This window comes from Homo sapiens, chromosome 17 (assembly GCF_000001405.40).
Source record: "Homo sapiens chromosome 17, GRCh38.p14 Primary Assembly".
NCBI classification, from domain to species: domain Eukaryota; kingdom Metazoa; phylum Chordata; class Mammalia; order Primates; family Hominidae; genus Homo; species Homo sapiens.
Window position 1 is genome coordinate 42,577,958 of NC_000017.11, and position 24,914 is coordinate 42,602,871.

Consider the following 24,914-nt stretch of genomic DNA (forward strand, 5'->3'; position numbering starts at 1 on the left):
CAGAGAAGGCCTTCAAGTTTCGAGACCCAGTTCCAGCCGCAGCTGAGCACTGGTGACCTTGAATTAAGTCTAATGTTGGGATTGGAAGACGCTTCAGACATCCGCTGCCGCCCTGGGCAAGCGACCAGCTCAAGGTTACCCCACAGGGACGTGCTCTGGTCCCACGGTCCAGTGCTCTTTTGTCGGTTAGTTTTGTCATTTGTAAAATAGGAACAGTAGATAGTGGTAGGAAAGTGGTTGTGAAAACTTAATAGAAAGCTAAGCGCCTTGGTCGGGCGCAGTGGCATGTCACCCCTGCAATTCTATCACTTTGGGAGGCTGAGGCGGGCGGATCGTTTGAGCCCAGGAATTCGAAACCAGTCTGGGCAATATGAAACCCCATCTCTGCAAATAAAGTACAAAAAATTAAGAGTGGTGGCGCGCTTCTGTGGTCCCAGCTACTCTGGAGGCTGAGGTGGGAGGGTCACCAGAGCCCCGGACATCGAGGCTGCAGTGAGCCACTATGAGCGCGCCACTGCACCCCATCCTGGCGACAGAGCGAGACGCAGTCTCGAACAAAAAAAAAAAAAGTGGGAAGGGGGGACAGCTAAGCGCCTTGGAGAGCAACCACCCTTATTTGCCTAATACCGAGCTTCGCACCCAGGGGGCACTCGACACCTACTGTAGTTTGGACGCCAAGGAACGATAGGGTTAGGAGGGGGCTACTGTTCAACCACAAAGCTTGTGGAAAAGTTTGTTAGCCCAGACAATCTCAGGGCAACACCTGGCAGGTGCTTTCCACCCCTGACCACAGTGGCCAATGGGACAGAGCCTGAAATAAATATTTCTAGTTTCTGAGGTGAGCTGAAGGCCAAAGAGCAGCTGTCCCTGCAGCTCAGACCATCCAGTGAAGGAGTAAGGTGCTACTTTTTAAAGCCTTCTGCTACCTACAACCTCCTTAGCCTTTAAAACGTGTGCTTGTCTCTGCACGTTTAGGAGACAATATTAAGAATTAGAAATGAAAGGGCCGAGCGCGGTGGCTCACGCCTGCAATCCCAGCACTTTGGGAGGCCAGGGCGGGCGGATCACGAGGTCAGGAGATCGAGACCATCCTGGCTAACACTGTGAAACCCCATCTCTACTAAAAATACAAAAAATTAGCCAGGCGTGCTGGTGGGCGCCTGTAGTCCAAGCTACTCAGGAGGCTGAGGCAGGAGAATGGCGTGAACCCGGGAGGCGGAGCTTGCAGTGAGAGATCGCACCACTGCACTCCAGCCTGGGCGACAGACCAAGACTCCGTCTCAGGAAAAAAAAAGAAATTAGAAATGAAGGAAATACAGGCTAAATACTAGCCAAGAGTGCCAGTTATACTGATGGTGGGGCTCTCACAAGAAGGAAAGTAGCCTCATACTATGGTGATGTTCTGGCCATCACGAAGTAAAAATAGGGGTGGGCTGGTGGGTCCCTCATACCTGGGCTTCCTCTTTTAAGGCTATCACTTCAAATTAATCAGAACTCAGATTTACAAGAGAAGACCTATCAAGGGTAGGACACCATTCAGCATCAGTCTCTTAAAGATTGTTCTCATACAAGATTTATTCCCCAGCACACCCCTCCCCTCCTCAGTTCACAGTGGAGACTATGGAGATTCAGGGCAGGATCCCTCAGGTACAAGAAACACCTTCCGAAGATTTTGCTCTCCTTCCTTCCCTCCCTCTTGCCAACTCCCAAGGCCTGAAGCGCACACTCATGCAAACACACGAAATCCCCCTCCTTCCCCACACCTCCTGTCTTTCCACATCAGAGCTCTGAACTTGAGAGGTGTCAAAAGTCTGTTTGAGAAGCCTAAAGTGGGGAGATGCCATTACCCCTGACCACCCCACTATGAGTGACTATGAGACACCTAACTCTTCCCTCTTCTGTCAACCATTTTCACTCCCTGGCCTCTGTACCTTCTCCATCAACCAAGAGCAAACATGTCAGCACACCCCCACCTGCAGTACATGAAAACAGGCTCTGTCCAACATCCCTCACCCAAGTACAGGGGTGTTGGGGGAGTGGCCCCTGAGGATCAGCAAAGGGTTAATGCAGAAGGAAAGAGGACAGAAGCGTTTGGCTTGAGCTCTGCTTGGGGAGGCAGAGGCTATAGACTGGCACAGGTTTAGAATCAAGTACCATGTTTAGGTTTCTGTCTCACATCACATGATTTCACTAGGGGCTGCAGAACAGATACCCCTCAGAGGGGTCTCTGCTGATTACAGCCACATTCTTACTATTGGCTCATCCTTAAAGGAGGCCCCACCAAGTTGGGAAGCAGTTGAAAATAAAAGCTGTAAAGGAGCTGAACAGGAAGTAAGAATAGGTGGTGCAAGAGATTATGGCCCCTGGGATGAATGACATGGAGCCATTTGTAAAGTGCTACTGTATCATCCCCCATGAATTATTGCTTCTCCAAAGGAGGAGCAGAGGAAGGAACAGGAACATAGAAATGAGTATGGTATTGCTTTGCTCACTGCTGAGGCTGATGGCCAGATGGACCCAGGGGTTATCAGAAACCGAAGATTAACTACACAGCTCCAGAAGACTCAGACCTCAAAATACAGAGGTGCTCACTAATCCTCCCAGCCAGCTGATCCCCCTGGGCCAAGGTAATGTAGAAGAGGCCCATCCCCACATCATATTCACATTTTTTAAATTTCACAAGCAATACTTTGGACCACTGGGGTTCAGGCCCCAAGAAATGATGGGCTAGATGAGAGGGAGCAGGCCTGTTCTGCAAAACCAAAGGACAAGTTTGCTTTAAAAAAAAAAAAAAATCACGCTGGGCACAGTGGCTCACACCTGTAATCCCAACACTTTGGGTGGCTGAGGCGGGCTGATCATTTGCAGTCAGGAGTTCTAGACCAGCCTGGCCAGCACGGTGAAACCCCATCTCTACTAAAAACACAAAAAAATTAGCCGGGCATGGTGGTGCATGCCTGTAATCTCAGCTACTGAGGAGGCTGAGGTAGGAGAATCGCTTGACCCGGCAGGCGGAGGCTGCAGTGAGCCGAGATTGTGCCACTGCACTCCAGCCTGGGCAACAGAGAGAGACTCTGTCTCAAAAAAAAAAAAAAGAAAAGAAAAGAAAAGAAAAAAATCAAATCCTGGTTTAACAAAAGATGACGACTAATCCCAGCACTCTGGGAGGCCAAGGCAGTCAGCTCACTTGAGGTCAGGAGTTTGAGACCAGCCTGGCCAACATGGTGAAACCCCATTTCTACTAAAAATACCAAAAGAAAAATTAGCCGGGCATAGTAGCGGGCACCTGTAATCCCACTACTAAGGAGGCTGAGGCAGGAGAACCTCTTCAACCTGGAAGGCAGACGTTGCAGAAAGCCAAGATCACACCACTGCACTCCAGCCTGGGCAACAGAGCGAAACTGTCTCAAAAAAAAAGATGATGACAATGTAACTACTCCAGCTGCTGCCTGACTTTGGGGGCTCTAGAGAGGCGATGAAAGGAGGAAGGCAGGCATGGGCTCTTTCAGTGAGGGCCCCTGAGCACTCATACCTAAAAGCAAACAGCAGCACCTCCTCAAAGGGGAACCAATATCCCTGACTATTTTGTTCCCCCAAAGTACCATCCTGATGGAGAGAAGCCTCCCTTGGGGGAGCACACTCTCACTTCAGTGACTGAGCTCAGAAATGGGCATCCAGCTGGTGGGAGGGGAGTGAGTGTCCTCTCTAAGGAGGCCTCTGAGCATCAGCCAGGCCACCCAGCATACAAATATAATTCAGGGGAGGGGAGCTGAGTTCTTCCCTTGCCCCATCACCTTAAGTGGGATGGGGAGAAAAAAACCTAAACCACAGTGACTCCCAAAAGGAGTCTCTGCCTCAGTGGCTCCTAGAACTGGCAGGGTCCAGCTGACTCAGCTCCGACTGGTCCAGAAGTTCAAAGTCATCCCCCTCAGCATCAGTGTCCAGGTCTGAACTGGGGGACCGGAGGAAGCCTCTCGTTGCTCTCTGGGCAGGTGCTCCAGAAGGGCCTGGTTGGGAGGCCCCTGACAAGGCCAGCTGAATCATACCCTGGGAGACCAGGCTGGCAAGGTTGCTGGTGAGGTTGGATCCTACAGGAAGAGCACCAAGCAGGAGCTCCGGCAGCGCAGCCTCGTCCCGGCTGGCAGGTGGGGCCTGGGGCTCCTCAGCCCCTGGCGGAGAACGGTACATCAAGCTGGGCATGCCAATGCTAGTGTCGTCCTCATCATCCAGGCCAGCAGGATCCATATTAATGGAAGGGAAGTCTGGAAGGTCTCTGGCAAAGGATTCCTCTGGATCACTGTGACCATCTAGGTCTGGTGGAATACAGAAGTGTCTGAGTCATGGCACCTACCTGGCCCTCCTGTGCCCCAGCCCCACATGACCAGATTTTTCCCACCCTGGCTTTCTCAGGGCGAAATAAACCCATGGGACTGGTATACCTTTCCCCTCCACTTATAGGTGGCTGTGATCTCTACACAATTCCCCCTCTCTTCTATGTCCCCTGTGAGGCTAGTGCCTGAGGCTACTAAGGGACTAAAGTCTTCAAGAAGGGCAGCAGTGCCATCCTGGCTGTAGCCACAGCACTCAGGCTGCTCTGCCGCCTGATCCATAGCTCAGAAAACAGGAGAGGGGCAAGCACCAGTATCCCCTCTGTTCAGGGAAGCTAAGAGGCAACAGTCAGAGCCATTATCAACTGAGGTCAAAGGCTCCCCTCACCTTCAGAGCCTTCCGTTAGAGGTGTTTGGCCCCTTGAAAGATTGAATGTGCCATTGTCTGTACAGGAGACTTCAGCGTCTGAGTGCTCAGAGTCTGTGATGGCCAATTCCCTGGCAACAGTAGAATCGTCCAGCTTAGGAAAAGACCAACAAATGTGAGATAATGCCATCAGGAACCAGGTGTAGTCACCAGGTACAGCTTTACTAATCAGCTAGCATTAGTTATCCGAAGGCCATCAAATCAATGTAACCAGGGATAGATGGTAACTTCCCGTTGAAAACTCCCTCTCCCCTTTATTTTTTTTTTAATCAATACATGTGAAAGTAACAACAACAAAAAAAATCTTGACCCCTTTTAGGCTGCTCTCCCAAAGAAAACACTCATTCATAACCTCTTAAGCACAGGAAGAAAAGCAGTCTTGGGGGAGTCAATTACCCACTTACTTTAAGGCAAATAATTGATCCAGAGATAATTTTTCAAAGTGGTAGGAGGATACACATACTGCACAGACCCAAGGGTGAACTGGGCTGTTTAAAAGATGATCATACTAGCTCCAGAAGTTCTTCCATAATGGTAGGGTAAAAAGAGATACGGAAGAGCGGTGCTGGGCATCAGGCTCTAATTGAGACCTAGGTTGATTACAGGAATGATATGATAAAGAAAAAAATTGAGATCTAGGAACAAAGTCTCACTTCTCTCCTTGTCTTGGGAACAAGGGGAGTCTAAGGCCTCAAACCTGGTTATGGCCTAAATGTGAGCTGTCGGATGGTTAAAAGGTAGCTAAAGAAAACTGGACAGTGAAGCAGCTCCCACACTCAAGATACCTGAGGACAGAAGGCAGCAAGCTCCTCTTCGCTGTCACTGTGGTTGTCCATGGCTCGTTCTGGGTGGAGAGCTCTGCGGCGTACTGTGGGAAGAGCACAAAGTCTTGCTTGATACCTTCTCCCAGCGTAAAATCCCCTTTGGACTTTAAAGACATAAAATCAGAACACAAAACAAAGAGCCTCTCTGAATCTGGCTCTAAGCCTACATAATAATAACAGAAGGCTGAGCTGCTGAGCCTAAATGCAAGGTGAGTTGAAAACACTGGAGAAAATATCTCAGCTTCCAACATCCTCTCCACCAGACCCTACATATTTCTTTTTTCTTTTGAGATGGAGTTTTGTTCTTGTTGCCCAGGCTGGAGTGCAATGGCGCGATCTCGGCTCACTGCAACCTCTGCCTCTTGGATTCAAGCAATACTCCTGTCTCAGCCTCCTGAGTAGCTGAGATTACAGGTGCTCACCATCACACCTGGCTAATATTTGTATTTTTAGTAGAGACGGGGTTTCATCATATTGGTCAAGCTGGTCTCGAACTCCTGACCTAAGGTGATCCGCCCACCTCAGCCTCCAAAAGTGCTGGGATTACAAGTGTGAGCCACTGCGCCCGGCCTGGCACACATTTCTATTCTGGTCAGATGATCAAATACCAGGCTTTGTCAACAACTCTCTGGATGGCTAAAGGCAGACCTAATGTCAAGGTGTTAAGTGGACATGATCAAAGAGAGGGCAAAAGGAGATGCACACCTTGTTAAATCAGACTTTTGAGGACTGGTATTATTCAACTGGCTGCCCCAAGGGGACTTGGGCCTTGGTGACCAAGTGCAGGGCTCTTTGAAGGCCAGGCCTCCATAAAACACAAAACCTGACAAGACCACACAAGGGAGGGAAAAGTTTGTACTACCATCATTGTGTTGCATGGATCTCAGGCTAGTACACTTACAACCTCTGAGGCAGCAGTTTTTAATCACCTTTGGGAGGCAGCTTTTACTAGTGAAGAGACCAGGCTTAGGAGTTGAAAGGATCTGCTCTGGGCTCAGCACGGTGGCTCACACCTGTAATCCCAACACTTTGGAACGCCAAGGCAGGAGGATCGCTTGAGCCCAGGAGTTCAGGATCAGCCTGGGCAACATGAGACCCCATCTCTACAAAAAAATTTAAAAATCAGATAGATGTGGTGACACATGCCTGTAGTCCCAGCTACTGAAGGGTTTGGCGGGGCTGAGTAGAAGGATCACTTGAGCCTGGGAGGTCAAGGGTGCAGTGAGCCATGATCATGCCACTGCACTCCAGCCTGGGAAACAGAATGAGACCCTGTCTCAAAAAAAAAAAAAAAAAAAAAACAAACCACAAATACTAGGAATTTATCTTCACTGTCTAGCTTTTATTCAACTTGAAAGAGCTTTTATCAGATAGGTTTAAAACGGGAGCCTAGGATTACAAATGATAAAAACTGGCAAGCCTGCACAGGTTTCCCTAGAACAGAATATCATTTTTACCTATCAATCCTCACCCCCACCAACTACCCCCGACTTCCACTTTTGAGGACCCACCCAGTATGTCAGACCTATGGGCTTCTCCTTTTCGCCCCAAATTGCGTAAGTGGAAAGAATGACACCATGACACTTACATTGTCTCTCTCTCTGCTTGGACATCATGTAGCCACGGACACTGAAGTCTAGCCGCTGCAGAGCTGGCTTCAGCCGCACATATGCTCGATCCCACAGTCGGTGGTACACAGCAAGGGGCCACATCATGACAGTGACAACTGTGAGGAGGCATGGGAAACAGTGACAAAATGGAGAAGGGGCTGCAAAAAACATTCCCAACTGTAGCGCTGCTATTGGTCCTTAGGGCTTGGACACAAAGTGTGGAACAGATCTGCCCAAGTCTGCCAGTCATCTTCACCAGTCTCCCCTACACATGAAGGAGTCTTTGAGGGCAGGGACTTCTACAGCCACCCACAAAGCCTACTGCAGGGTTGTGCACAGCACAGTATGCTGCTGACAGGCCAAGGGCAGAACCTGGCAATGGGTGTCACTGAGCCATAAATGGAAATTACACAACAAATCATGCGAGGTTTTGATATACAAAAGCCACAGGCATAAGTACTTAGTTCTTCCAGCCCCAAGCAAGCTGAGTACATGCCAACAGGAAGTAACTAAATTTACAAAACTATGCTCCAAGTGGGAAAAAAGTACTCTGGCATAAATAGAACCTAGCAGAGAAACCCCTAAGAGTTATGTTCTGCTGACAATACCCTGGCTCTAAAAATTCTCTCCTTAAACAGGGACAGGCAGTCCTTTATAGTTGGTAATACCAACAATATATGTTAGTGGACCCTCATCAATTTCTGACTTGGTAAGAAATGAACTTTGTATGTGGAGAGCCTGCTAAAGAAGGATATTTTCATGACACTAAACAGGTCATGAAAATATGCAAAGGTCATATCCTAGAGAATTGAAATATAACAGTCCTCTCCCCACACCTAGAGTTAGCCATAGTTGGAAAGCTATGAGCAGGGTATACTTTGTAGGGGAGGTATATGTCATACTTACGCATCAAGTAGGACAGCAGAAGCCCAGGGACGTAGCGGCCCAAGACAGCCAAAAAGGTCAGTATCCCACAGCTCAGCAAGCAGAACTGGGGAATCAAGAAAGAGTATTAAGTTTCTGTCACATGGCAGGGGACTGGGGTGGGTGTGAAGGGTTAGGGTAGAGATATGACAGAAAGACTCTGTAAGTCAAGCATGGACGTGCAGCCACTGTTGCATCCAAAGGTGATTCTGTTTGGGAAGAAAAGGAGCATGTCCCCTTCTATTCAAACTCCTTTTACATGGCTAACCCCATAGGGCTGCACCTTTCCTGCCAAGAAATTGGTTTGAATAGGACTTAGCCAAAAATTCTCTCTGAAAGCAATGTTGGTGGTGGTTTTTTAAGTCAACAGAAACACACACAAAACCCAAAAAAACACAACAACCTATCACATATTTAATATGACACAGAATGTACACAAGAAAGCTTTCTTTCCTATCTTGAAGCAAGAAAACGGCCTCATCTAAGTGGCAACCACACCAAATGAGCAGTCACCAAGCTCCTGTGTTAGTCCTAATGGCTGGTCAGAAGGCCTTTCCTATAGCTTCCTTTTGTCTCTATGAACATCATAGTCTTTACTTTCTTGAATGAAGACACATAGTAAAGGAGCTGTTTCAGTTTAGCATGAACTGAACTGAGAGGCCAGAGATGAAAGTGAAAAAGGGAAGAGTCTTACCTTGCCTGGGTTTTGCTTTTTGAAAAGCAAAACATTCCTTATGAAAATGGTCCCACTAACCCAGACTTCAGCTACATGGTGGCAGAGCTCGGGCACGCTGAGCAACCGAGGGTGCACAAAGCCCCAGCTATGGGAGAGAGAAGGGGGAGCTGTGAAAGGAGGGTGTTGAGGGTCCCCCCATCTTGCTGTGCAGGCAGCCAGTGCTTCCGGTTTTAAATGGGGTTTGGGGAGTGACTAGGCCCAGGTGCTTTGGAGGTGAAGCATGACTTTCTTCTTGGCTCACCAGGTTGAAATCTGAATTTAGGTACAAGGAGGACAAACTTGTTCTGACAACTCCACCCTATGAGCAAGCAGCCCAATCCACGTGTGTAAACCTGTCCCCAGCTCCAAGGCCCTTTGTGCTTAGAAACGTTTTCTTCCTTGCACTCAGACCATTCCAATTCCCTGTGATTGCAATCCAGGGATAAAAGTGAGCATAGTCTGACTGACACCACTGCTGCTAAGGGGGAGGAAATGGTGGATGTGCCCCTTAGAAAGAAAATAAATAAAGCAAAACCAAAATAAACCACAGCAGAGAAAATTCTTTGGATCAAACAAATGGAGTGGATGAACTGAGAAATGAAAGCAGGAGCTGTAAGACACAAGAGGAATCTTTGGCTTTGACTTGCTGATGCCAGGAACCAATGTGTTTTCTGACCGGGAACTTTAAATAGCCAGAGGTCACAGAAAACACTAAATGACCTGGTATAAAAGCCAGGAGACAAATGAAGTTAGCTGCCTTTAAGTTTTCTCACTGGGACTGAATAATGCAGCTGATTCCCTGGCATGTCAGGTTATGGGGCACTGTAATGCTTCTTTTTCAGAAACTTCTCTTGTAAAGATCAGAGGACACAGGCCATCTCAACATATTGCTGCCTGAACTTTAGGATGTGTTAAAATGATCATTTGGAACAGCCTAGGTTCTCAGTTTACACTGTGTGTCCAGAACATGGGGTTAACAACATGTAACCAGAATATTACAAGAGAATGAATCAGAGCAACAAAAAGGGATTTAATTAGTGTTCCATACCTCTCATTGTCTAATGCGTCGGGTCTTGGCACTACAATATTAAAACAAACACCAGCATTAGTTGGTAGGGAAAACTAAACATGAAAATGTTAGGCTGTTGGTCTGACAGCTCAAGTTTTAATAGGTTGGGGAAAAGAAAACAGTAATAGCCGATAAAAAAGGAGACACTGTGTTATACTGCCAGTTAGGGAGCTGCAGACAAGGGAATAATCACTTATGCCTACTCATTTTTCGAGGGGAAGGAAGGGAGGTCCAAATGGACTATTTGAGCCCCCTTCTAATGACCTCAGCTGAAAGCCAAGGTGTACAAGAAAAATGGTCCATCTCACCCCTTGAGTGTGTCTGGGATACCCATACACATCAATCTGTGCCAGGCTACACAAGGTACGTTGTAACAACTCCAACCCTAGAAATCCACCTGTTGTGTTTATTTTTTTTGAGACAGAGTCTTCTCGCTCTGTTGCCCAGCCTGGAGTGCAGTGGCACGATCTTGGCTCACTGCAAGCTCCGCCTCCCATTCTTCTGCCTCAGCCTCCTGAGTAGCTGGGACTACAGGCACCCACCACAATGCCCGGCTAATTTTTTTTTTTTTTGGAGACAGGGTCTTGCTCTGTAGCCCAGGCTGGAGTGCAGTGGCGTGATCTCAGCTCACTCAGCCTCCCGAGTAACTGGGATTACAGGCACACGCCACCATACCTGGCTAATTTTTGTGTTTTTAGTAGAGATGGGGTTTCACCATGTTGGCCAGGCTGCTCTCGAACTCCTCCACCTCCCAAAGTGCTGGCATCACAGGCGTGAGCTACCGTACCCAGCCGAAATCTGCCTGTTCTCTTTATTTTTTTGAGACAGAATCTCACTCTGTCACCCAGGCTGGAATGCAGTGGCACGATCTTGGCTCACTACAACCTCCACCTCTGGTGTTCAAGCAATTCTCCTGCCTCAGCCTCCCAAGTAGCTGGGATTATAGGCACCTGCCACCACGCCTGGCTATTTTTGTGTTTTTAGTAGAGACAGGTTTTTGCTATGTTGGCCAGGCTGGTCTTGAACTCCTGACTTCAGGTGATCCACCCACCATAGCCTCCCTAAAGTGCTGGAATTACAGGTGTGAGCCACCACACCCAGCCTGCCTGTTCTCTTTAAAAAGAGACCCAGAGCTAGGTGTAGTGATGCTCACTTATAGTTCTGCCTCCTTGGGGGGCTGAGGCAGGAGGATCACTTGAGCCCAGGAGTTCAAGTCCATCCTGGGAAACACAGTGAGACCCTGTCTCTAACCAAAAAAAAAAAAAAATGGGGAGACCCATTATCTACCTGAATGATGTATAAGTCTTTTGAGATTCACCAGCCATTAGATAGGCAGATGAACTACACGATTCCTTGAAGTCTCTATAAAATATGATGGGCATGTATTTAAAACCTGTATACTCTGGTTTGAATATCTTGCCAACACTTCAAAATTAACCTGCCTAAAATCTACATCAGTTTTCCTCTCTCACCCCTTCAAACCAACTTTCCTGTCTGCCTTTGCCTGCTAAGTGTAATGCCATTCTGCCACTCTCTTAGCTTTAACCCCCATCCACTTATGTCTTTTATTATACATATATAACAATTATTATTTTCTGAGACAGGTGTCGCCCTGTTGTCTTGGCTGGAGTACAGTGGTGCGATCACGGCTCACTGCAGCCTCAACCTCCAGGGCTCAAGGGATCTTCCCACTTCAGCCTCCCAAGTAGCTGGGGACCACAGGTGCACACCACCATGCCTGGGTAATTTTTTTATTTTTTGTAGAGACAAGGTTTCGCCACGTTGTCCAGGCCGGTCTCAAATTCCTTGGCTCAAGCAATTCTCCTGCCTTGGCCTCCCAAAGTGCTGAGATCACAGGCATGATCCACTGCACCTGGCCCCAACTATTTATGTCTTGATCTTCCTTATTCACAGCTCTCCAGGCCATCCATCATTTGTATTCACTGAGGCCTCTCTGACTACTTCTCACAAAGACACTGCCACAGTCTCCTAACAGGTCATCCTGTTCCACTTTTCCTCCTTCCATGTGGTCCTAAAAATGCTACTAAATTAATCTTTATTATCGGCTGGGCGTGGTGGCCCACGCAGGTAATCCCAGCACTTTGGAAGGCCAAGGCACGCGGATCACTTGAGGTCAGGAGTTCAAGACCAGCCTGGCCAACATGGCGAAACCCCATTTCTACTAAAAATACCAAAAAAATTAGCTGGGCGTAGTGGTGCACGCCTGTCGTCCCAGCTACTCAGGAGACTGAGGCAGGAGAATCATCTGAACCTGGGAGGTGGAGGTTGCAGCGAGCCAAGATCGCGCCACTGCACTCCAGCCTGAGCAACAAAGTGAGATTCTGTCTCAAAAAAAATTTTTTTTACTTAGCTGGGTGTGGTGGTATGCACCTGTAGTCCCAGCTAATTGGGAGACTGAGGTGGGAGGATCACTTAAGCCCAGGGATTTGAGGTTGCAGTGAGCTATGATCATGCCACTGTACTCCAAAACCTGGACAACACAGTGAGACCTAGTTTGTTAAAAAATAAGAATAGGGCTGGGCGCGGTGACTCACGTCTGTAATCCCAGTACTTTGGAAGGCTGAGGCGGGCAGATCATCTGAGGTTGGGAGTTCAAGACCAGCCTGACCAACATGGAGAAACCCCATCTATAGAAAAAATACAAAAATTAGCTGGACATGGTGGCAAGTGCCTATAGTCCCAGCTGCTCAGGTGGCTAAGGTGGGAGAATTGCTGGAGCCCGGAAGGTTGAGGCCACAGTGAGCCATGATTGCGCCACTGCACTCCAGCCTGGGTGACAGACCAAGACTCTGTCTGAAAAAAAAGAATGCGCCAGGTGCGGTGCCTCACGCCTGTAATCCCAGCACTTTGGGAGGCCTAGGCGGGTGGATCACCTGAGGTCAGAAGTTCGAGACCAGCCTGGCCAACATGGTAAAACCCCGTCTCTAACAAAAATACAAAAATTAGCCAGGCATGGTGGTGCGTGCCTGTAATCCCAGCTACTAGCAGGGCTGAAGCAGGAGGATCACTTGAACCTGGGAGGCGGAGGTTGCAGTGAGCCAAGATCATGCCACTGCAGTCCAGCCTGGCCAACAGAGTGAGACTCCGTCTCAAAAGAAAAGAAAAGAAAAGAAACCAACAAAAAACCTAATCCCAACATACTTTCAGTTTTATTTCCTAGCACTCCCTTTAATGAACCTTCATCCTGGCCATATGATCAATTCTCTGATGTCAGGAAATGCTTTGCAACTTCTGGTTCCTCAGACTAATCAAGCCACTGGACTCTCTAGAAACAGACTTTTTTCTCAATCTGTTCAAATCTTTTGCTTTGTTCCACTCTCAGGCTAGGGAAAAAATACATGCTAAGTATACTAATCACATACTGCACTGTGACATCTGTGGTGCTGGTCTATAATTGTCACTTAATTTTTCATTTGTTTATGTATGTATTAGCTTTTTAAAAAGACACCACATGTCATGGTACTTTCTTTTTTTTTTTTTTTGAGACTGAGTTTTGCTCTTGTCACCGAGGCTGGAGTGCAGTGGCACGATCTCGGCTCACTGCAACCTCCGCCTCCCAGGTTCAAGTGATTCTCCTGCCTCAGCCTCCTTAGTGGCTGAGATTACAGGTATGCATCACCATGCCCAGCTAATTTTTTGTATTTTTATTAGACGGGGTTTCATCATGTTGGCCAGGCTGGGCTCGAACTCCTGACCTCAGGTGATCCACCCGCCTCGGACTCCCAAAGTGCAGGGGTTACTAATAGGCGTTAGCCACTGCGCCCGGCCATCATGGTACTTTCTATAAGTCACAATTGCCTAGCCTAGTGTTTTGCAAATGAGCAATGTAAAAGGAATTCCTGAGAGGTACTGCCTCAATAAAGATGCAGTGTCCAATAACGATAATTTATTATTTTTCATTTGAGGACTACTTATTCCTCAGGCCATTATGTTGGCAAAAATAACTCAGGTGGTGAGTACAGATTTCCTGTGCTTAGTAACAATGGGAAGGGCAGAACCCAGCTCTAAGGAACCATAATTGGGGCACAAGCCCTTCAAGTGCCTCCTAAAGCAAATGATTCAGACTTCAAAAGACAGTCCCCAGCTCCATACACCTCCTCATAAACCCCTAATACTAAAGGTACAAATTATAGGAAAGGCCATCTTCAGTTCAGATTGTTCTAAATGCTACCAAACTCACCTTTTATTTCAGGCCAGATTTTGTTCTTCCATTGATCAATACACACAATGATCATCAAGCCAAATGCAAGTAAAAACACAAGACGAAGAGATGTCAGGGCAAAAAACCTACAGAGGAAGAAAAACAGAAGAAAGATCATTTACCTAGTTATCCTAATTTCAGAAAAGGCCACGTGTGTACGATGGGCTCTGTGGTAAACAGACTTGAGGTCTAGCTTTTTTTGTTCTGACACTTAACTAGTTATACACCTAGGGTAAATCATTTAAACCTTCTGGACCTTAACTACTCTACCTATGGGGCAGAGAAAATAATTTGCTGCTGTAAAGGCAGAGGACTAAATCAAATAACCTCTTAAAGCTCCTTCTGCTTTCCAGTCTATATCTCTATTAATTTCACGGAGAAATTCATCCTTGATAACAAGTTGTTATAATGAAAGCAAACATCTTTCTACCAAATTAGACCCTAGTGTAGGGCAACAAACTGACAGAGATGCACTCAAGAGCATTTAATTCAATTACATATCTTTTTACAGATCTAGGAACTGAGGCCTGAAAAATATTTGATTAAGGTCACACAGAAAGTTGGCATAAAAGCTATATTGAAAAGCAAGTTCTGGCCAGGCACAGTGGCTCAAGCCTGTAATCCCAGCACTTTGGGAGGCTGAGACAGGTGGATCACCTGAGGTCGGGAGTTTGAGGCCAGCCTGGCCAACATGGTGAAACTCCGTATCTACCAAAAATACAAAAATTAGCCGGGTGTGGTGGTGTGCACCTGTAATCCCAGCTACCTGGGAGGCTGAGGCATGCCTGTAATCCCAACTACCTGGGAGGCTGAAGCACGAGAATTGCTAGAACCCAAGAGGCGGAGGTTACAGTGAGCCAAGATCATGCCACTGCACTCCAGCCTGGGCAACAGAGTGAGACTCTGTCTCAAAATAAATAAATAAATAAAAGCAAGTTCTCCAGAATTAACACAAATGCTTCTCAAACTCTTCCAAAAAACCAAAAAAAGGAAACACTTCTTGATTTATTTTGTGAGGCCAGCATTATCCTGATACCAAAGCCAAAGACACAATAAAACTGTAGACCAATATTCCTTATGAATATAGATGTAAAAATCTTCAATAAAATACTAGCAAGTTAAATTCAGCAGCATATTAAAAGTATTATACACCATGAACAAATGAGATTTATCCCAAGACTGCAAGGGCGGTTTAACATACAAAAAAATCAGTAAGTGTAAGGCATCACATCAATAAGGTAAAGGAAAAGCTAGTTCTTATTTGAAGGAATCAACCATAAAAAAATTTTGAGGCCAGGCGTGGTGGTTCAAGCCTGTAATCCCAGCACTTTGGGAGGCAGAGGCGGGCAGATCTTGAGGTCAGGAGATCGAGACCATCCTGGTTAATATGGTGAAACCCTGTCTCTACTAAAAATACAAAAAAATTAGCTGGGCATGGTGGCGGGCGCCTGTAGTCCCAGCTGCTCGGGAGGCTGAGACGAGAATGGCGTGAACCTGGGAGGCGGAGCTTGCAGTGAGCCAAGATCGCGCCACTGCACTCCAGCCTGGGCGACAGAGCAAGACTCCGTCTCAAAAAAAAAAAAAAAAAAAAAAATTGAACAATCTGAGAAATCTGACATTGAGAACACATCTAATGATACTAAGGAATTTTTTTCTTTTAGATGCTAAGTGTTAAGGTAGTTATTTTTTTCAGATCTATTTTGGTTTAATATTAAATGAGGAAATTCAGAAACACAGATTAGTACAGATAGCATAAATGCTACACTCTGGGTCATTTTTTCCCTTTTTTCCCCCTAAGTAACATGTGATGTGAACATGAACTATAGAGCCCTGGCCAGGTGTGGTGGCTCATGCCTGTAATCCCAGCACTTTGGGAGGCTGAGGCAGGCAGACTGCTTGAGCTCAGGAGCTCGAGACAAGCCTCGGCAACATGGGGAAACACCATCTCTAAAAACAAATACAAAAAATGAGCTGAGCATGGTGGCGCGCTTGCGGTCCCAGTTACCTGGGGGACTGCGTCACAAGAATTGCTAGCCTCGGAGGTAGAGGTTGCAGTGAGCGGAGATCGCACCACTGCACCTCCAGCCTGGGTAACGGAGTGAGATTCTGGTCTCAAAAAAACAAATATTGGAGCCAATATGAAAATCATGTATAGATTAGAACAGAATATAAATAGCATTTCACAGTATTCCGAAAAGACTAGGCATGGTGGCTGACGCCTGTAATTCCAACACTTTGGGAGGCCAAGGTGGGCAGATCACCTGAGGTTAGGAGTTCAAAACCAGCCTGGACAACATGGCGAAACCCTGTCTCTACTAAAAGTACAAAAATTAGCCAGGTGCAGTGGCGTGCCTGTAGTCCCAGCTACTCGGGAGGGTGAGGCAGGAGAATCGCCTGAACCTGGGAGGTGGAGGTTGCAGTGAGCTGAGATCGCGCCACTGTACTCCAGACTGGGAGACAAAGCAAGACTCCATTTCAAAATAAAGGCTGGGCGCGGTGGCTCACGCCTGTAATCCCAGCACTTTGAGAGGCTGAGGCGGGCAGATCACGAGGTCAGGAGATCGAGACCATCCTGGCTAACTCGTTGAAACCCTATCTCTACTAAAAATACAAAAAATAAAAAAATTAGCCGGGCATGGTGGCAGGTGCCTGTAGTCCCAGCTACTCGGGAGGCTGAGGCAGGAGAATGGCGTGAACCTGCGAGGCGGAGCTTGCAGTGAGCTGAGATTGCGCTACTGCACTCCAGGCTGGGCGACAGAGTGGAACTCCGTCTCAAAATAAATACATACATACATACGTTTATCCGGCTGTACATTTGAATATACATACATAAATGGGGGACTGGCCTAAGGAACTTTACGTTTTGTTTGTAGATTTTTTTTTTTACTTTTTTTTTTTTTTTTTTTTGAGACGGAGTTTCACTCTTGTTGCCCAGGCTGGAGTGCAATGGCGCGATCTTGGCTCACTGCAACCTCCACCTTCTGGTTGAAGCGATTCTCCTGCCTCAGCCTCCCGAGTAGCTGGGACTACATGCATGCACCACCACGTCCAGCTAATTTTTTTTGTATTTTTAGTAGAGACGGGGTTTCACCATGTTGGCCAGGATGGTCTCGATCTCTTGACCTCGTGATCTGCCTGCCTCAGCCTCCCAAAGTGCTGGGATTACAGGCATGAGCCACTGCGCCTGGCCTTTTGTACTTTTTTTTTGAGACGGAATTTTTTGAGACACCATATTGGCTAGGCTGGTCTTGAACTCCCTGACCTCGTGATCCTACCTTGGCCTCCCAAAGTGCTGGGATTACAGACATGAGCCACCGCACTCTGGCCCTTTTTTTTTTCTTCAGAGTCTTGCTCTTGTGACCCAGGCTGGAGTGCAGTGGCACGATCTCAGTTCACTGCAACCTCTGCCTCCCAGGTTCAAGCAATTCTCCTGCCTCAGCCTCCCAAGTAGCTGGGATTACAGGTGTGAGGCATGACACCTGGCCATAATTTTTAAAAATAACATTTTAAAATCATACAAAGAATGAGGGATGGACGGGAACAAGAACTCAGAAATCCAGTCACCAATGACAACCCTATTTCTTTCTTTCTTTTTTTTTTTTTTTTTTGAGACGGAGTCTCTCTCTTGGTCGCCCAGGCTGGAGTGCAATGGCATGATCTCCGCTCACTGAAACCTCCACCTCCCAGATTCAAGAGATTGATTCTCCCTGCCTCAGCGCGCTGAGGCAGGAGGATTGGTTGGTTAAGTCCAGGAGGTTGAGGCAGCAGTGAACGTGTTCACGCCACTGCACCCCAGGCTGGGAAACAGGGCAAGGCCCTGTCTAAGAAAAAAAAAAAATCATTAAGAAAAAATAGATTGTGAGCCTACAGTAGGTAGAAGGAGTAACAGGCTATCACAGTCCCCAAACTGAATAATTCATGTGTGAATTTCCAGAGTTGACTATATTTGCAGTTGTTTTTGCCAAGTTGGAAAGTTCTCACGCTCATTATCGTTGCCGAAAAATGTTTTCAGCCGGGTGCAATGGCTTACACCTATAATCCCAACACTTTGGGAGGCTGAGGTGGGAGGATGGCTTGAGCCCAGGAGTTCGAGACCAGCCTGGACAATATAGTGAGACCCTGTCTCTATTTAAAAAAAAAAAAAAATTAGCCAGGTATGGTGATGCAAACCTGTAGTCTCAGCTACTCAGGAGGCTTGCTTGAGCCTGAAAGGTTGAGGCCCCAGTGAGCCGTGGTTGTGCCACTGCACTCCAGCCTGGCTGACAAATCTGAGACCCTTTCTCAAAAAAAAAAAAAAAAAAAAAAAAAAAAAAAAAAAAAAAAGAAATAAAAATGTTTTAGTTTTTTTCTTATTACACTGTTTTATCTGCTTGTGAGTTTTTTGGCCCGCATGAATAGACATTGCAGGACTAAACGAATGCAGAGGAATCCTCCCTTTTTTTCCTCCATTCCTTACCCATACCATCTCTAAAGTACTTCATCTTCAATTACATCTTGTCCATCCACATAGTTGCAAAGCTTGTTTTACCGCTTGACTTCTAGGTTACATCTCTAAAATGACAAGTATAATGTGACCTTATTATATACAAAATACATCAATCTGATGTTGATACTCCCTTTTATTTAGGAATTTTGTGTTGAGGGCTGGAAGGAAAGGAGAAGCACACACTTATCTATACCATTTTATATTTGATAAACCTGTAAGAGAACATTAATATTAATTACCTGGTTACCTTGGAGGGGTCAACTCTAGTTCTTTGAGGTGATCTGTCTATTAAGTTTTGCTGTTTGGAAGAATTTTTTTTTTTTTTTTGAGATAAGAGTCTGGCTTTGTCACCCAGGCTGAAGTGCAATGGCGCCATCTTGGCTCACTGCAACCTCTGCCTCCTGGGTTCAAGCAATTCTCCTGTCCTAGTCTCCCAAGTAACTGAGATTACAGGTGCCCTCACCATGCCCAGCTAATTTTTAAATTTTTTAAATAGAGACAAGGTTTCACCATGTTGGCTAGGCTGGTCTCAAACTCCTGATCTCAAGTGATCCGCCCGCTTCGACCTCCCAAAGTACTGGGATTAGAGGCATGAGCCGCTGTACCTGGCCAGAAGAATCTATTTTTTCTTTTTTTTTTTTTTTGAGACGGAGTCTTAGCTCTGTCGCCAGGCTAGAGTGCAGTGGCGTGATCTTGGCTCACTGCAACCTCTGCCTCCCAGGTTCAAGCAATTCTCCTGCCTCAGCCTCCTGAGTAGCTGGGATTACAGGCATGCACCGCTACGCCCAGCTAATTTTTGTATTTTTAGTAGAGACGGGGTTGCACCATGTTAGCCAGGATGATCTCGATCTCCTGACCTTGTGATCCACCCACCTCGGCATCCCAAAGTGCTGGGATTACAGGAATGAGCCACCGCGCCCAGCCAGAATCTATTTTGTGTGTGTGTGTGTGTGTGTGTGTGTATATATATATATATATATTTCGTATATATATTTTTGTGTATATATATATTTTGTGTGTATATATATATATATATATATATATATATATATATATATTTTTTTTTTTTTTTTTTTTTTTTTTTTGAGACAGAGTCTCACTCTGTCACCCAGGCTAGAGTGCAGTGGCACAGATCTCCACTCACTTCAACCTCCGCCTCCAGGGTTCAAGTAATACTCCTGCCTCAGCCTCCTGAGTAGCTGGGGTTAAGGTGTGCGCCACTGCGCCCAGCTAATTTTTGTATTTTTAGTAGAGACGGAGTTTCGTCTTGTTGGCCAGGCTGGTCTCGAATCCCTGATCTCAAGTGATCAGCTCGCCTCAGCCTCCCAAAATGTTGGGATTACAGGCATAAGCCACCGCGCCTGGCCAAGAAACGTTATTTTATACCACAAAGAAAACTCTTCTTCCTCTGAAGTTTTTTTTTTTTTTTTTTTTTTTGAGACGGAGTCTCGCTCTGTTGCCCAGGCTGGAGTACAGTGGTGCGATCTCGGCTCACTGCAAGCTCCATCTCTCGGGTTCATGCCATTCTCCTGCCTCAGCCTCCCGAGTAGCTGGGACTACAGGCGCCCGCCACCACGCCCGGCTAATTTTTTGTATTTTTAGTAGAGACGGGGTTTTACCATGTTAGCTAGGATTGTCTCGATCTCCTGACCTCATGATCCACCCGCCTCAGCCTCCCAAAGTGCTGGGATTACAGACGTGAGCCACCGCACCCGGCCTCTTCCTCTGAAGTTATTATTGTGGCTTGTTCCAAAAAAAGATAAATCTGGGACTAAAATTGATTTATGGACAAGGATTAATCTTGTTATGGAAGATGCTCACAATTTTAGCCTTCAAGACCCAGAAAATATACCCTTTATGAAACTATTGGCTTATCTTCATCTGCAGGATGAAATCCCATTACCCCGTCATAAAAGGGCCTTCATGATCTGGATCCTGCCTCTCTCCCCACACTGATTCCCTCCCTTTGTTTTTTATATTTCAGTTTTATCAAACTACTTGCAATTCCTTAAGTATCTTACTAGATTGGTGTTTTCCCTATCTGAATGTCTTCTCTCTCTTACCACACCTTTCGGCCCCATTTCCTTAACATTTATCTTGCAAATCACAGCTTAGATATCTTCCTGTTTGTTATTATTACCTGTCACGTTATATCGTGAACACAAACACACATGAATTTACTTGAGAGTAAAGTTTGTGTCTTATTTTTTTCTGTAACTGGGCTTCTTACCACAAGGCCTTGGCATGTAACAGGTACTCAAAGGTATGTTGAATTGAATTGAAGCATAGCTTATAAGAATGGAAGGTAAGGGCTGTAACAAGCAATTTAAATAGTCCAGGTCTTAGAAAACAGTCTTTTTTTTTTAATGTTTACCAGTTTATTATAAGGGATATGTTTTTATTGCCATCATCTCTGGAAAACCAACCTTCTTAGGAGAGCTTAATATCCTTTCCCTACCCTAGTTTCTATTTGTGTTAGTAATCGTGCTCTGGGAAGGGGAAATTGCCAACAGTCTGGCAAGCCTCCCTAGAGAGCCCTTTCAAGTACTCTGGAGAAAACAGCGATGCCATGTGCTGCTGCTGGGGAAGGGAAGCAGCAGCACTGGGGAGCAAGAAACCCTAGAGCTCTTCTCCTTGGCCTTGTTAAATGTGCTTGTTTGTTGGGATGATGCACTGGCTTTAGAGAGAAGATCAATGGCCTGAGGCAGCTCTAGAGGCTTATTTCTGTTAAACTGCTTTTATTCTTTAATCTTACATATAGTCACAGTATCCTTTAGGTGGTAGGCTGGAAAAATTGAAATAGGGTTGTTGGCTGGGCACAGTGGCTCATGCCTATAATCCCAGCACTTTGGGAGCCTTAGGTGGGTGGATAACCTGAGATCGGGAGTTTGAGACCAGCCTAGCTAACATGGAGAAACTCCATGTCTATTAAAAATACAAAATTAGCCGGGCGTGGTGGTGTATGCCTGTAATCTCAGCTACTCAGGAGGCTGAGGCAGGACAATCGCTTGAACCCAGGAGGCAGAGGTTGCAGTGAGCTGAGATTGTGCCATTGCATTCCAGCCTGGGTGACAGAGTAAGGCTCCGTCTCAAAAAAAAAAAAAAAAAATTATACAACTAACATGAATTCATGTTTATCGAAAAAAAAGTACAGGCATGGTGGCTCACGTCTGTAATCCCAGCACTTTGGGAAGCCAAGGCAGGTGGATCACCTGAGGTCAGGAGTTCGAGACAAGCCTGGCCAACATGGCGAAACCCCGTCTCTACTAAAAATACAAAAAATTAGCTGGGCATAGTGGCGGGCACCTGTAATCCCAGCTACTCAACAGGCTGAGGTGGGATGACAGCTTGAGTCCGGGAAACTGAGGTTGCAGCGAGCCGTTATCGTGCCACTGTACCCCAGCCTGGGTGACAGAGCGAGACCCTATCTCAAAAAACAAAAAAGCAAAACAGAAAAAACCACCTAAACACTAACAAATTGGTTTGTGGGGAAAAAAAGAGTTTAAAAAAAAAACAACAAATAAAACCACACACAACAGGCCACATGTGGTACCTAAAGCCTGTAATCCCAATACTTTGGGAGGCCGAGGCAGGAGGATCACTTGAGTCAAAGAGTTTGAGACCAGCTTAGGCAACACAGCAAGACCTCATCTCTACTGAAAAGAAAAACATTAGCTAGGTGTGGTGGTGCACGCTTGTACTCCCATTTACTTGGGAAGCTGAGGTGGGAGGATTGCTAGAGCCAGAAGGTTGAGGTTGCAGTGAGCTCTGATTGTGCCACTGCACTCCAGCTTGGGAGACAGAGCAAGACCCTGTCTCGAAAAGAAAAAAAAAAGTATCATTTATGACATTTATAAGAAAATTGGAAATGTGAACACTGACTAGAATCATTAATTTTTTGCATGTGATAATGATGGCAGATGTTTCTTAAAGTCTCTTTTTCAGAAAAATATACTGAAATACCTAGATTAAATGATATGACACATCAATAATTTGTGTCAAACAATAAGGAAGACGTAGAAAAGAACTGGGGTATGGAAGACACAAAATTGGCCAGGAATTGAAAAAAATAATATTATGTACATGGTGGCACACAATATTATTCTGCCTACTTACACATGTTTTAAGCTTTCCATAATAAAATATTTTTAAAATGATCCATTATCCACATATGTACTCTAAAAAGTGTGAAGACAGGCTATTCTCTTCATTAAAAAATTCACATATAAAAACACTATGGTTTTAAAACTTTTTCACATAATACATAGACAATTAGCCTGATGTGGTGATGAACTCCTGTGGTCTCATCAGCCATGAGGTGGAATGATCACTTGAGCTCAGGAGTTCCAGGGTACAGTGAGCCATGATCACACCACTGCAATCTAGCCTGGGTGACAGAGTGAAACCTTCTCTCAAAAAAAACAATGAATGGGCCAGGCGCAGTGGCTCAAACCTGTAATTCCAGCACTTTGGGAGGCTGAAGCAGGTAGATCACTTGACATCAGGAGTTCAAGACCAGCCTGGCCAACATGGTGAAACCCCATCTCTACCTAAAAATACAAAAATTAGCTAGGCATGGTGGCGGGTGCCCGTAATCCCAGCTACTCAGGAGGCTGAGGCAGGAGAACTGCTTGAATCCGGGAGGCGGAGGTTGCAGTGAGCTGAGATTGTGCCACTGCACTCCAGCCTGGGCAACACAGGAAGACTCCATCTCAAATAAAATAAAATAAACTAAGACGGTGGCTCAAGCCTGTAATCCCAACACTTTGGGAGGCTGAGGCAGGCAGATCACGAGATCAGGAGATCGAGACCATCCTGGCTAACACGGTGAAACCCTGGCTCTACTAAAAAATACAAAAAATTAGCCGGGAGTGGTGGTGGGCGCCTGGAGTCCCAGCTACTCGGGAGGCTGAGGCAGGAGAATGGCGTGAACCTGAGAGGCGGAGCTTGCAGTGAGCCGAGATCGCGCCACTGCACTCCAGCCTGGGCAACAGACAGAGCGAGACTCTCTCAAAAAAAAAAAAGAAAAGAAAAATAAACGAAAAATAAACTAAGAAGGTTCCAACTTTTTTTTTTTTTTTTTTTTTGAGACGGAGTCTTGCTCTTGTTGCCCAGGCTGGAGTGCAGTGGCGCGATCTCGGGTCACCACAACCTCTGCCTCCCAGGTTCAACGGATTCTCCTGCCTCAGCCTCCCAAGGTAGCTGGGATTACAGGCATGCGCCACCATGCCCGGCTGATTTGGCATTTTTAGTAGAGATGGGGTTTCTCCATTGTTGGTCAGGCTGGTCTTGAATTCCCGACCTTAGGTGACCTGCCTGCCTCGGCCTCCCAAAGTGCTGAGAATTATAGGCATGAGCCACTGCGCCCAGCCAAAAGTTTCCAATTTTTTGATGTAATAAAAGCTGAACTATACATCACTGAGCATGTTACTGGGTCAAAGGCATTAACTATTTTAAACAAATAGCTTTATTGGTCGGGCACCGTAGCTCACACCTGTAATCCCAGCCTTTGGGAGGCCGAGGCAGGTGGGTCACTTGAGGTCAAGAGTTCAAGACCACTTTGGCCAACATGGTGAAACTCCATCTCTACTAAAAATACAAAAATCAGCCAAGACATGGTGGTGCACGCCGGTAGTCCCAGCTACTTGGGAGGCTGAGGCAGGAGAACTGCTTGAATCTGGGAGGCAGAGGTTGCAGTGAGCTGAGATCATGCCACTGCACTCCAGTCTGGGCCACAGAGTAAGACTCCGTTTCAAAAAAAAAAAAGTAAGAAAATAGCTTTATTGAGATAATGGTTTGTATACGATAAAATTCTCTTTCAATTCATCTGCCAGCAGCAGAGATGAAAAAAAAATCACAATGCTGTACGACTAATAGCCTTATGTAATTTCAGAACATTTTCATCACTCCAAAAGAAACCCATACCCATTAGTATTCTTTCTCCATTTCCCCCAGCCCTGGAAAAGCTTCTTAAGTGGCTTAAAATATGTTACCAAACTACTTGCTAGAAAGGCTGTCCAATTTATGTTCCTATCAGCCATATGCCCATTTTTCCATATTTTCCCCAGAATTAATTATGATCATTAAAAATACTTAAGGCCAGGTGTGGAGGCTCACACCTGTAATCCCAGCACTTTGGGAGGCCAAGGTGGGTGGACTGCTGGAGCCCAGGAGTTCAAGACCAGCCTGGGCAACATGGTGAAACCTTGTTTCTACGAAAAATACAAAACAATTAACCAGGTGTGGTGACACACACCTGTAGTCCCCACTACCTGAGAGGCTGAGGTGGGAGGATGGCTTGAGCCCAGA

The 24,914-nt window shown here is 46.2% G+C and overlaps 1 protein-coding gene across 3 annotated transcripts in view, besides 1 other annotated feature; it reads right to left on the minus strand.

The window, feature by feature from the left end:
- Window positions 34–123: an enhancer, noted in NCBI's record as "active region_12210". NCBI's record gives its function as "activates an Ori minimal core promoter by ATAC-STARR-seq in GM12878 lymphoblastoid cells {active_cell/tissue: GM12878}" and the evidence as "EXISTENCE:reporter gene assay evidence [ECO:0000049][PMID:35858748]".
- Window positions 1,551–24,914, minus strand: part of RETREG3 (reticulophagy regulator family member 3) — a 29,920-nt gene continuing 6,556 nt past the window's right edge. Inside the window, exons 2-10 of one of the 3 annotated variants that reach the window (XM_047435503.1) lie at window positions 18,576–18,670; window positions 14,099–14,205; window positions 9,877–9,907; window positions 8,808–8,934; window positions 8,096–8,180; window positions 7,168–7,305; window positions 5,541–5,623; window positions 4,717–4,849; window positions 1,551–4,313 (exon numbers count right to left, since the gene is read on the minus strand). In XM_047435503.1, coding sequence (XP_047291459.1) covers window positions 3,856–4,313; window positions 4,717–4,849; window positions 5,541–5,623; window positions 7,168–7,305; window positions 8,096–8,180; window positions 8,808–8,934; window positions 9,877–9,907; window positions 14,099–14,153 — 1,110 coding nt within the window. In that variant the 5' untranslated portion in view covers window positions 14,154–14,205; window positions 18,576–18,670 and the 3' untranslated portion in view covers window positions 1,551–3,855. The remainder of the gene's footprint in view (window positions 4,314–4,716; window positions 4,850–5,540; window positions 5,624–7,167; window positions 7,306–8,095; window positions 8,181–8,807; window positions 8,935–9,876; window positions 9,908–14,098; window positions 14,206–18,575; window positions 18,671–24,914) is intronic. The other 2 variants (NM_178126.4, NR_026697.2) reach the window with 2 other exon arrangements.